The sequence below is a fragment of the Homo sapiens genome, chromosome 15 (assembly GCF_000001405.40).
Source record: "Homo sapiens chromosome 15, GRCh38.p14 Primary Assembly".
NCBI classification, from domain to species: Eukaryota; Metazoa; Chordata; class Mammalia; order Primates; family Hominidae; genus Homo; species Homo sapiens.
The window spans coordinates 82,791,703-82,805,686 of NC_000015.10; the positions used below are offsets into that span (position 1 = coordinate 82,791,703).

The 13,984-nt window shown below is 42.8% G+C and overlaps 1 protein-coding gene across 9 annotated transcripts in view; it reads right to left on the reverse strand.

Moving 5' to 3' along the window:
- Window positions 1–13,984, reverse strand: part of FSD2 (fibronectin type III and SPRY domain containing 2) — a 50,708-nt gene that overhangs the window by 36,341 nt on the left and 383 nt on the right. For 5 of the 9 annotated variants that reach the window (XM_011521235.4, NM_001281805.2, XM_005272425.6 and 2 more), the window contains exon 2: window positions 4,548–4,664. The exons of 2 other annotated variants lie outside the window; for them this stretch is intronic. The gene's annotated coding sequence lies outside the window, so the exon portion shown is untranslated. Of the gene's footprint in view, window positions 1–4,547; window positions 4,665–10,841; window positions 10,937–13,984 lie in introns of those variants that run through there. 2 more of the 9 variants (XM_024449844.2, XM_024449845.2) reach the window with 2 other exon arrangements.

The window sequence follows — 13,984 nt, forward strand, 5'->3', positions numbered from 1 at the left end:
AGAAGCACTGTACCCTTTAGCTATCACCACCAGCATTCCCCCATCTCCCCTATCCTAAGCAACAACTAATCTACTTTCTGTCTCTATTGATTTTCCTGTTTGGACATTTCCTATAAACGGAATCTTATAGTATGTGATCTTTTGTAACTGGCTTCTCTCACTGAGCATACTGTTTTCAAGATTCATCCATGTCGTAGCATGTATCAGTATTTCATTCCCTTTTTAGGACCAGAAAAGTATTCCGTTGTATGGATATGCCATATTTTGTTTGTCCATGCATCAGTTGATTCGGGTGGCTTCCCATTTCATTTGGGTTGTTTCTACCTTTTGGCTATTTTAAATAAGGCTGCTAAAGATGTTTTTGTACCAGTTTTTGTTTGAATATGTTTTCATCTCTTGCAGGTATATACCCAGGGGTGAGTAAACACCTCAGAGTGGGATCACTGGGTCAAATGGTAACTTATGTTTAACTTTCTGAAAAACCATCAAACTGTTTTCCAAATTGTCTACACCATTTTACATTCCTGCCAGCAGTGTAGGAAAGCTCTGATTTCTCCACATTCTTGTCAGCACTTGTTATTATCTGACTGTTTGATTACAGTCATCCTAGTGGTTATGAAATGGTATCTCATTGTGGTTTTGATTTGCATGTCCCTGATGAATAATGATGTTAGTTATCTTTCATGTATTTATTGGCCGTTTGTATACCTGCTTTGAAGAAATGCCTCTCCAAATCTTTTGCCCATTTTTAAATTGGATTATTTGCCTTTTTGTTATTGAGCTCTAAGAGTTCTTTGTGTATTCTGCATTCTAGTCCACTGTCAGGTATGTAAATTACAAATATTTTTCTTCTATTCTGTGAGGTGTCCTTTTATTTTCTTGATGATGTCCCCTGAAGCACAAAAGTTTTTAATTTTGCTGAAGTCTAGTTTATCTATTTTTTTTGTTGTTGTTGCTGCTTGTGCTTTTGATGTCATGTCTAATAATCCATTGCCAAATTTGGGATGAATCCCACTTGGTCATAATGCTTAATATTTTTCTTTTTTGTTGTTGTTTTTTAAGAGGGATTACAGGCATGAGCCACCGTGTCTGGCCTAAGTTTTTGTCATATGTGACTAGATTCAGTGTGCTAGCATTTTGCTGAGGAATTTTGAATTCATATTCCTAACAAATATTGGCCTGTAGTTTTGGGGTTTTTTTCTTGTGATATCTTTCTCTGGTTTTGGTATCAGGGTAATATGTCTCATAGAATGAGTTGGGAAGTGTTCCTATTCTTCTATTTTTTGGAACAGTATGTGAAGAATTGTTATTAATGCTTGTTTCAACGTTTGGTAGAATTCACCAGTGAAGCCACCTGGTCCTAGACTTTTCTTTGTGGGTGGTGTATTGATATTCTTATTAATTTTTTTTTGAGACAGGGTCTCACTCTGTCACCCAGGCTGGAGTGCAGTGGCACAATCTCGGCTCACTGCAACCTCCACCTCCCAGGTCCATGTGATTTTCCTGCCTCAGCATCCCATTGGAAAAATTAGGGATTACAGGTACCTGGCACCACGCCTGGCTAATTTTTGTATTTTTAGTAGAGACGGGGTTTCACCATGTTGGCCAGGCTGGTTTTTTGTGTTTTTTTTTTTCACGTCAAGAAATAACTTTATCCGAAAGGAATTCAAATGGAAGATATATTTAGCATCAATTCATGTATTAGTAACTTATACATGTATTGTCAAGTATGACATCCATAAAAGCACAAAACAGTTTCTCACACGTTCCACCAAACTTCTGGCTTACTTTGTGTGTCACTTCCATGACTACCAATCACACATGCAGAAACTAGGAGAGACAGTGAAGATGGCTTTCCAGGAAGTTTACAAAATAAGAAAGGAAATGTATGTCAAAATATAGCGTAAGTAGCAATGGGGCCCTGAATTCACTTTGGAAAAAGCTAGTTTTTTAATTATTAATTTAATCTCTTTACTTAGGCCTATTTAGATTGCCTATTTCTTCTTGGGTCTGTTTTGGGACTTTGTGTCTTTCTAGGAAATGTCTATTTCATTTAAATTATCTAATTTATTCAAATACAATTGTTCATGGTATTTCTTTTTAATCTTTTTTATTTCTGTATGCTTGGTAGTAATGCCCCCTTTTTCATTTCTGATTCTAGTCATTTGAGTTTTCTCTCATTTTCTCTTGGTCAAACCTCTGACTAGAGGTTTGTCAATTTTGCTGATTACTTCAAATAATCTGCTTTTGGTTTCTTTAATTTTCCCTATTGTTTTTCTGTTATCTATTTCATTAATTTCCACTCTAATACTTATTATTTCCTTCCTCTGCTTGTTTTGTTTAGTTTGCTCTTCTTTTTCCAGTTTTTTAATGTATTGATTTGAGATCTTTCTTCTTGTTAAATATAGGCATTTATAGCTATAAATTTTCCTCTAATCACTGCTTTTGCTGTACCCTACAAGTTTTCATGTTATCTTCATGTCTATTCATCTCAAAGTATTTTCTAACTTCCATTTTCATTTCTTCTTTGACCCATTGGTTATTGAGGAGTGTGTTGTTTAATTTCCATATATTTGTGAGTTTTCCAACTTTCCTTGTGTTATTGATTTCTATTTGCATTCCATTGCGACCAGAAAACATATTTTGTATTATTTCTGTCCTTTTAAATTTATTGAGGTTTGTTTTATGGGCTAGCATATGGTCTGTCTTAGAGAACGTTCCATAGGCATTTGGGAAGAATGTGTATTCTGCTTCTGCTGTTGTTGAGTAGAGTGTTAATATAGATGTCTGTTAGGTGCATTTGGTTTATAGTATTATTTAAGTCTTCTATTTCCTTGTTGATCTTCTGCTTAGTCATTCTATCCATTACTGAAAGCAGAGTATTGAAGTCTTCAACTATTATTATTACAGTTTCCATTTCTACCTTCATTTATGTCAGTTTTTGTTTGACATATTTTGGTATTCTGTAGTTAGGTGCATATACATATGTAATTGTCATATCTTTTTGATGGATTGGCTCTTTTCTTTTTTTTTTTTTTTTGAGAAGGAGTCTCGCTCTGTCACCCAGGTTGGAGTTCAGCGGCGCGATCTCGGCTTACTGCAAGCTCCGCCTCCCAGGTTCACGCCATTCTCCTGCCTCAGCCTCCCGAGTAGCTGGGACTACAGGCGCCCGCCACCACGCCTGGCTAATTTTTTGTATTTTTAGTAGAGACGGGGTTTCACCATGTTAGCCATGATGGTCTCGATCTCCTGACCTCGTGATCTGCCCGCCTGGGCCTCCCAAAGTGCTGGGATTACAGGTGTGAGCCACTGCGCCAGGCAGATTGGCTCTTTTCTAATGACAGTGTATCCCTCTTTATCTCTACTAACACTTTTTTGTTTTAAATCCATTTTTTCGGATGTCAGTACAGCCCCTCTAGCTTTCTTGTGGTTGCTGTTTACATGATTTATCTTTTTCTATCCTTTTAGTTTCAATCTATTTGTATTTTTGAATCTAACGTGTGTATCTTGTAGACAACATAGAGTTGGCTATATTGTTATTAATTTTTAATTGATTCATTATGAGAAGTTTCCTAAGAATTTCTAAATTACAACACTTTGTTGGAGGAGCTCAAGCTATGATTTTTTTTTCCATATAACAAAATGGCATTTCCTACAAAATAATATAACACGCCCCCAAAGAAAATCCTCCCCAGAACCTGAGAATGAACATTCCAATTCTTAACTTTCTAGTAGGATAATAAATCAGAGGTTAGAAGAAGATTATCATCTACAAGTCTATCAGAACTAAATATAGGCATTTATGGCTATATCAGAGGAAGACATTTCACTCTAAAGGAGTATTAGGCCAGGTACAGTGGCTCACGCCTGTAAACCCAGCACTTTAGGAGGCTAAGGTGGGCAGATCATTTGAGCTCAGGAGTTTGAGACCAGCCTGGGCAATATGGTGAAAACCCATCTCTACCAAAAATACAAAAAAATTAGCCAGGCGTGGTGGCACACGCCTGTAATCCCAGCTACTCAGGAGGCTGAGGTAGGAGGGTCTCTTGAGCCCAGAAGACGGAGGTTGTAGTGAGCTGAGATTGCACTCCTTCACCTCAGCCTGGGTGATGGAGCGAGACTCCATCTCAAAAAAAAAAAAAGTATTAGATGATAGGTGAGTTATGATAGGAGAGTAATTATGAAGAGGACACTAAAGGATACTCTAAGACTGAGAGAAAAACTGTAACACAGGATAAACTTCACAGGGAGTTCAAATGTCATAGAAGAAGTTTTGATTTCCTTTTCTTTTTCTTTTCTTTTTTTTTTTTTTTTTTTGAGATGGAGTTTTGTGCTTGTTGCCCAGGCTGGAGTGCAGTGGCGCGATCTCTGCTCACTCAACCACCGCCTTCTGGTTTCAAGTGATTCTCCTGACTCAGCCTCCCAAGTAGCTGGGATTACAGGCATCCGCAACCACATCCAGCTAATTTTTGTATTTTTTAGTAGAGACGGGGTTTCACCATGTTGTCCAGGCTGGTCTCAAACTCCTGACTTTGTGATCCACCCACCTTGGCCTCCCAAAGTGCTGGGATTAGAGGCGTGAGCCACTGCGCCCGGGAGAAGTTGTGATTTCAACCCACATCATGGCAAACGGAATTGTCCTGGCCAGAGCTGGTCCCCAGTGGCTGTAAAAGCAAGAAAAACATATGGAAACACAGGTGAACCAAGGTTGGCTGGCAGGTGAGCTGAAGAAGTTGGCAGCATTGCTGCGGGCATAAGACGTATTAGGAGAACCAACGGAAAGTGGTCACCAGGCCTCATGAGAGACTCTGAGCCACAATCACCCAGACGAACTGTTCTCAGGTTCTTGACCCTCAGAAACGATTCAAGAGAATAAATATTTGTTGTTTTAAGCTGTCAAGTTTTGAAATAATTTGTTATGCCACAATAGATGACTAGTTCATTGTCCCAGACTAAAAATAAACTTTCCACCCAGCTTTCTCTGCTAGCTGCTATTCTCTCTTTCTCCCCTTTCCCTCTCCAGACTCCATCAAAGGGTGGCATTTCCACCATCACTCTTCAGGCTATGGAATCTGTATGCGAAGACTTTCCAAGGGGTACATGGTATAGATAGCTTCAGGAGGATCAGCTCCCAGATGCTCAACTTTATATTTAATCTTTCCCAGAGCTGCTCTGCCTGGGAAGGAACTAGCATTTGAGGCTTCATGTAGATTCTTTTTTCACAATAGTCCTTTTTCTCTTTATTACAAAAGTAAAACTATACCTCTCACTTATCCTGAATATTTCATTGCACTGTAAGATTTCATTGCTTGGTAATTAAAAAAAAAAAAAAAAAAAAACACCTCCAGGGGACTAAATGGAAGGACAATTTGAAGTATTGCTATCAATGGTGGAGGGTGAATGACATTAATGAATGCATAAGAAAAAATTTGTTTTCAAGCTAAGTGGTTTCCAGTTCTTTGCTTTCAATAAAGTTGAAGGAGGATCTAATCAAATTGTCAGCTAATATATGATTAAAAATAATTTTTCATGATAGATCACTATGTACTTTTTGAAACACATTTCAGAAAGAGTTCAAAAATGTGAGTGACATTGCTATAATAAAACACTTTCATTTCCATCAATGTTTGATTACGTAGCTAAGCAAGGTTGCTCTGTTCTTACATCAACAAAATGAAAAGCGGAAAGACAATTGACCCTAATTCCTGTTGCAGTCTAAAATATGTAATTTTCATCAATGGATACACAAATAAACTTTTTTTAAAAAAGCTCCATCTACCTCATTAAGAGATGCATTTCCATTTTATTTTTCATTTAACAATTATTGGCCAGGCGTGGTGGCTCACGCCTGTAATCCCAACACTTTGGGAGGCCGAGGCGGGCAGATCATGAGGTCAGGAGATCGAAACCGTCCTGGCTAACACGGTGAAACCCCATCTCTACTAAAAATACAAAAAATTAGCCGGGCGTGGTGGCGGGCGCCTGTAGTCCCAGCTACTTGGGAGGCTGAGGCAGGAGAATGGCGTGAACCTGGGAGGCGGAGGTTGCAGTGAGCCAAGATCACGCCACTGCACTCCAGCCTGGGCGACAGAGCGAGACTCCATCTCAAAAATAACAATAATAATTATTATTATTTACCAAAATTTGTAATATGTTTATGTTATTTTGCTTACATGTGATTAAAAGTTGTATTGGTAACTTCATCCAAAAGAAAAAAAGAGTTTAATATTCAGAGATGTATGGTCCCAGGAGAACAAGAGAAAATCTTTCATCTCAAGTTATACATCTGTATTTTTGTAGAGAAGTATCATAGATGACCAACAAAAGACTTTCCAAGCACAGAAAAATATTACAGGTCAGGTACAGTGGCTGACACCCGTTATCCAAGCACTTTGGGAGGCAAAGGTGGGAGGACCACTTGAGCTTAGGAGTTCGAGACCAGCCTGGGCAACAAAAAGAAACCTCACCTCTATTTAAAAATCAAAAAACAAAACTAGCCCAGCGTGGTGGTGTGTGCCTGCAGTCCCAGCTACTCGGGATGCTAAGGTGGGAGGATCACTTTAGCTTGGAAGATTGAGGCTGCAGTGAGCTATTATCTTGCCACTGCACTCCAGCCTGGGTGACAGAGCAAGACCCTGTCAGAAGATAGAAAGGAAGAAAGAACGAAAGGAAGAAAATTCATGTTTTAAGTGCACAATTCAATGATTTTTAGTAAATTCCCCAAATTGTGCAGCCATCATCACAATCCAGTTCCTAATGCCTACCCCCATTAAAAAATTGTGGTAAATCTAATGTCTTTTTTTAAAAAAACTAATATTATTAAACTATTTTAACATGACATATATATATAATGTTTTGAGAAAAATAAGCAAAATATTTTAAGATATGGTTTAGCACTGTTTTTTCCTTATCCATCACTTTTATGATCCAGTTTTCCTTAACTTCCATTTATGTGATCAAAGTTAGCAGCCAGCTGTTTGTCTTCCCTATTTGTTCCACAGTTGTACACAGAAAACAGAAGTCAACAAGTTCGTCGGCTTCCCCTATCAGCTCTGTTTAACTTTCTGCAGTGATAGACTGTCACTTCTGCTGATAGACTGTCCTTTTAATAGCCACTTCCCAAACTATATTTTTAAAAAGGCATTAAGTTTTCTTTCCACTATCTCCACTGTTTTGTTTTTTTTTTTTTTTTTGAGACAGGGTCTTGCTCTGTTGCCCAGGTTGGAGCACAGTGGTGAAATCTCAGCTCACTGCAGCCTTGACCTTCTGGGCTCAAACAATCCTCCCACCTCAGCCTCCTGAGCAGATGGGATCACAGGCATGCACCACCACGCCTGGCTAATTTTTGTAATTTTTGTAGAGACACGGTCTCACTATGTTGCCCAGGCTGGTCTCAAACTCCTGCTTAAGCAATCCTCCCGCCTTGGTCTCCCAAAATGTTGGGATTACAGGTGTGAGCCAATGCGCCTGGCCTATCTCCACTTTTGATTGCCCTTTTAATATAACATTTTCTCATGGCCTAATTTGGAAATTCATGGACCCTGTCTGGTGCTCTCCTGACTGCTCCATGCCATTCAATCCTATTGACCCTTCTGTGTCCCCCGGCTCAGCTGGGATTTCCCCTAGGCCACTGACTGCTGAAATCTCTGCCAAGTTCCTCCCCTTGGCTGCTCTTTATATGCAGGCATCCCCTTAACCTCCATTCTAGGCCCTCTTCCCACTCTCCACTTGCTCTAGGTGATCTCATCCAGTCTCACAGCTTCTATGTCCCCGTCTTTTCTGAGGGCTCCAAATCCATGTCTCTGGCTCTAACCTGTGCCCCATGCAGAGGCAGAGGCTCAGAGGTGCAGCTGCTGTCTTGAGCAGCCCCCTCCAGCAGCCCCCTCAAACTCAGCACTGCCAGATGGAGCTCATTGCCTCTCTCTTTCCCCAACTCACCATGTGGTGTGACGTCACCTCCACGGCAGCCCCTGCATGCTGCCTGTTAGTGGGGTGTCCTCCCACCAGCCCTGCCAGAACTCCTCCTCTCAATAAGGTTTCTCAAACTTTCCTGCACACACGTCGCCTTGGGGTTCTGGTTAAACGTAGAGTCAGAAAGTCTAGAGTGAGGTCTGGAAAACTGCATTTCTAAATCTCTAAATGGTGCCTATTCTGCTGGTCTACCTTGTAAGGTAGAAGATGCCTGGATGCCCAGCTGGCCCGTGAGAGGTTGGGACAGTCTTCCAGAAAACCCACCTTCTTCAGCCTCTCTACACTCTGGCCATGAATGTCTGTGATGTCCTGAACTGACTGCCTGCCCTTCCCTCTGCCCTCCCTGGACATTCCTGCTGTAAGCCTCCAGTTTCATCCCTCTTCCTCAGCCTTTATTTGTGGAGGCCAAGTTACCCATGGCCTCGGGAAGAAGAACTCTGCCCTGCGTCCTCAGAGAAGAACTCTGTCTCTGGTCAGAGATGACACCTTGCCCTTATGGCCTGGACCTCCCCCTTCCTTCCTGGGGACAACCAGCCAGGCTCTGCTCACTGCCTGCCCCAGTGCCCTCCAAGTTTTGTCCTGCAAGCACAGGAAAAGGCTAGGAGTAATGATGAGGAAAGCAGAGGTGCCAACACAGTTCTACATCTGGCCCATTTAGGAAGGATTTGAGACAGGCAGGCTAGCTAGGTTCCTATGTTAAGATGGTCTGGAGGAAAATGATAAAAGCCCCTCAGTCGGCCCCACACAGTGGCTCACACCTGTAATCTCAGCACTTTAGGAGGCTGAGGTGGGCAGATCACCTGAGGTCAGGAGTTCAAGACCAGCCTGGCCAACATGGTGAAACCCCGTCTCTACTAAAAATACAAAAATTAGCTGGGCGTCGTGGTGGGTGCCTGTAATCCCAGCTACTCGGGAGGCTGAGGCATGAGAATCGCTTGAACCTGGAAGGCAAACGTTGCAGCGAGCCAAGATCATGCCACTGCACTCCAGCCTGGGGGATAGAGCGAGATTCTGTCTCAAAAAAAAAAAAAAAAAAAAAAGCCCCTCAGTCAGGCTCTTGCTTATCTAACTCCCAGCCAATCAGTAACAGAAGACCCAAGAAGCTATAACTGCTATAACCATAAGCTCCTATTTCGGGGGTCTAGGGACTTCCTTGGAGACCCAAATGTGCAGTTACATTTAAACTCCAACCTATAGTTACCCCTTCTTCATTTTAATGCTAAAAATCACCCCTGGGGTGGTGATTTAAAATGCTAATGCTACATATAATATATGAAGAAGCATGTTGAGCCACTGTGCAAGCACTAGAAAAACTCTCCTACACCTGCCCCAATGTAACCCTTCCCCATAGAAAGCCTTTATAAAACTAACCCACACACTACTGCCCTCAAGGAGCAGCCCATTCTTTTCTTCTTCAGTGCCAGCTTCCTTGTGCACAAGCTAAAATAAACTTTCTCTATGCTGCTGTGTCTGGTGATCTCTCTTGATTCCTATCCTGGGAGATTACAAGAACCCAGGATGCTGGAAACATTTTGATCCAAGAATAGGAGGTTCTGGATCACAGTGATGGAACCATGTCCTGCTCTTAACCCAGAGGGGCCCTTAGTCATTTCATCTGGTGCTCCGTACCAACTATCACTCCCCCAGTTAATCGTGGCTACACCCTGCCTTCGAAATCCCTCACATTTCCCTCCATGGGCTCACCCTGGCTCTTTCTGACAGCAAGACAAAAACACAAGAACCAACCAGCCTTCTCTGATGGTAGACGGGTTGGGGAGGTGGGATGTGGAAGTGTGACTACCTGGACTCAGCCCTGGTGAGCCCCTGGGGACCTTCTCTCTTCTCCTCTTCACTCTGAAGTGTCCACGGGATGCTGTTTTTCTAGGTACTGTATCAGCACCACACAGAGAGGTCGACTTCCAGCAGTCATTAGGTGACAAAGATGCTGCTATCCTAACCCAATGCCATGTATGTTATTGGTTTCAGAGATCTGGATCCTCATAAGGAAACCTTACTCCTGAGACTCTAAGACTTGGGAACATCACTCTTGGAGTTCTCCCACTCTCCAATGCTCCAAAACTCTTCACATGGAAGATAGTGGTAAATATCACTTCAGTAACACCTGCTGAGGCTGAGATACCATGACCATGCAGGATTAAAGCACACAAGGCACCAGCTCCACCATGTCTTGGTCCATGCCACCTGGGACCACAAACAGGATCAGGTCCACCCCTAGATGGAGAGAAGGATGAGTGGAGGTAGGTTTCCAGAGGCAGCATCGCAAAGCCAGTGGTTTCCAGGCACCAGGGCCAGTGTTTTGCCTCCACAGCCAGTGTTTTGCCTTCATATGATTTATGAAGACTCCAGAATTGAGTTTTCTTTATGGGGAGGTTACTACTAAGAAACCTGTCTACCATTAGGCTCTGGCTGGGGCAGTCCTGGCTCATCCTCACTAATGCAGCCTGTACACAGGGCTGGAGAAGTGTGGCTTCAAGTGAACTAGGGCACAGCTTCTTCTCACACTGAATCTGCATCCCAGCAAAACCAGTGCTGAGCTGGACCAGCAAGTCTCCCCCTCCATACATACCAGACCCAAGGGATTGCTAGCTCCTCCTGGGTATCATGCACATTGCCTGCACTTTAGCCCATGTTTCCCTCCGATGGTTCCCAAGGTCAAAGTTCCCTTCCAGCTATGGAAACACCACTTTGCCTCCTCTCTCATCCTGAATCCCTTGTTGTAGTGGATGATTCTCAACAAAGTAATCAGAGCCTTCTGCCCTGAGAGGCCCTGAATCCTGCCTTCACACTCCTGTATGTCAGATTGCCCAGCTAATCAGAATTACCCACATTGCATAGAAATAATGTCTTACCATTAACAGCTGGGTTGAGCTCTTACTTGGCATCATGGGGGAGGAAGAGTAGGAGAATGAAGCTGAGCACAAGTACCTCTGGAAATAGAACCTGAGAGGATGGGAGGGTCATGCTTCTTCTCTATGGGCCTCTTATCAGCCAGCAACAGCAGCAGCAGGTCTCCCCAGCTTAGGAGCAGTTCCTCATTTCTACTCCACCAGGTCTCCTGGTTGCTGCCTCTGCTCCTGGGGCGTTATAGATTCCACCTGGTCATGGCAGAGTTAGTGTGTTATGGGGCAACATGGAATGACCTGGAAAGTCTGCACCCATGCAGAGGTCATCTGGTGAAGCCCTAGGTCCTTCTGTGACCCTGGCTAACCTTACCACATGCATGGTCTGTGGTGTTGGGCATCATTCATTGCCCCAGCTCTGAATGTTCATGGGGTTGGTGAGGTGTGAATTCAAGAGAACAGGATTGGGCTAGGCGCTGGGGGTACAATGGATGAGACACAGTTGCTGGTGTCAAGGAGGCTCCAGACAAGTGACTAAGGGATTATTACCCCATCTGGGGCTATGCACAACTTCTCAGAGACGCTGCTTTCCCTCTTTCCTGGGACCCCAGAGTACTTCTCCTTCCTAAAGCACAGAGTCTGTGCCAAAATCCCACTATTTCCCTCTGTGGCTCGAAATCTTGCTTGAAACCCTCCTGTCTCTACAGTCTGCTGACTGCGCGCACCATGGTCCTTCCTCAGGGGTGTCCCTGCCCAGGATAGCAGCATAGCTTATACAGCATATGTTGCTTTGTTCAGGCAGAAGTGGTACATCTGCACATCGTGCATTCTGAGGGCTCCATTACTGGCAAGTCCCAACTCTCCTGGGCACCAGGGATCCCCCACCCCATGCCATAGCTCTATACTCCCCAAGCAGCCCCACCTTCCCTAGCGGTAACCCTCTGTTCCTTCTGGCCGCGCTCAGGGTCTTCCATGTGAGACTCACCCTAGGCCCTGGCTCAGACTGTCCTGCCTGCTGAGAGCTCCCACTCTTCCCTATCTCACCACTGCTTCTTAAACCCCATACTCATCCAACATGGCCCTCCATGAAGTCCACTGCATTGCTACTATCCATGAATGAGAGCATGACATCCACCCCCTCCAGCACCAAACCAGAGACCAGAAGCTCATCCTTGACACCCCCAATCTAATTAATAACTAATTCATGCTGATTCTGACTCTACCTCTTGAATCTCTAAGTAATATCCCTTTTCCTGTCCCCTCTCCCTGCTCCCCAAGATCACTGCCCTCTGGATTCAGAGAGTCCTGTGTTTGCATTGTTTCTGCCACATCCTGGAAGTATGACTTCAGGAAAATCATCTCTCTAGGCCTAACTTTAATGGACTATAAAACAGCTCTATTAACAGTGTCTACCTCATAAGGTTGGCATTTAGATGAAATAACATAATGTACTTTATGCATAGTACATAGCTTAAAGTAAGTCCTCAGTAAGTGTTAGCTGCTGTTATTGTTGTTGTTCTTACTATCATTATCATGATTCCTACCTTAGTATCTCCCACCTGGGCTAGAAGCCTTCTACCTAGTCACTCATGGAGAGTGACCACAGCAGTGTGGAATCATCCATGGCTACTGTGGGAATATTTGTCCCTTGAAAACAGCCGATGATGAAAGAAGGCACCAAGCAGAACAGCCTCATAACCACGCACAGACATCAGCTATGAGATCATTCCTCTCCCAGGGGGCCCAGGCAGAGATATGGTATTCTAGGGATGGAGGTCCCTTGGAGAGCATCTAATTCAATTTCCTGATTTTATTCAGCAGGTCATGGATGTTTAAAAAAAATTCCTGATTTTAGGATGGCAAAACTGAGATCTTGTGAGGATAAAGGACTTGCTTATAGCCAATTTTCTTTTACAAAAATGTATCTGGGCTACTCTGTATTTAGCCCTGTGCTTGAATCCAAGCTTTTCACCTGACACACAACCAGTCAGGTGAAGAGCTTGGATTCAAACCCAGGTTTCCATTAAATCACACCATCTACAGACAGAGGAGCAGTTCACTAAAATAATGCTTACATTCCCATGTGCTACCCAAAGGGAAATAGCCAGGATTCTGTATGACCAATAAATCATCATGAGAAATTATTTCAACCAGAAGCTGGAATGTGAAACACCAAGTTGAACTGTCAGAAGACTGGAAAACACTTAGTGCAAATACAGATAAGAACACATGCTTTCAAGCTGGCACTTGCCCTTCGAACACACAACACAAAGTGGTCTCAACACAAACTGGCTCAGTGTCAAAGTAGGAATTTTGCAACACACCCTACAGTTAACAGTCACTTTTCCCCTCAACACCTAGACTCTTTCTTAACAAAATCAGGATTTGGGGAGAAAGGAAAGTTGACAATAAACTGTCATTTTATAAATGGTGAAACTAAAGCTTAGAGAAGTAAAGCAATTAGTCATAGTCCATTATGAATGTCTTTGCTGGATACCCTTTCCTCTATGCCAAGGGAAGCAGTTAAAAAAAATAAAAAAGATGTTTGTCTAAGGCTTATATGGGAGGTGTATCCCTGTGCATTACTTAGAAAAGTCCCCCAATAATTTTTTTTTTTTTTTTTTTTTAGAGACAGGTTCTTGCTATGTTGCCCAGACTGGTCTTGAACTCCTGGGCTCATGCAATCTGCCACCTCACTTGGCTTGTTTATTAACCTTTTATGGATCATGGGCATATCTACTGAATCTACTGAAACCTGTGAATTCTCTTCCCAGAAGTGATTCCATAAGGGCAGGAACATAACTTTGCCTATAATTTTAGCTCTTCCATGCAGCCCTTGGCAATTCCTGAGCCACAGCAGTGAAAGAAAGCTTGCCTTAAAGTGTTACAGTGATATGAAATGATTCAAATCAGCTTTGCAGACACTGCCCGAACCTGAAAACTTTCTATAGGAGGAGGCTGTATGCATAACAAGTGAAAAATAATTACGATGCTGTTTTTTAGTATTTGAATCAATGCATGAAGTTATTATTTTTCAGCATGTACACACAGATTAAATAAAATGTATTTACAACACAATAGTATAGCCAGATGATATTCAACATCTATATTTCCAAACTGTTCTACCAAATGGTTCTAACTAATGGGTCCCA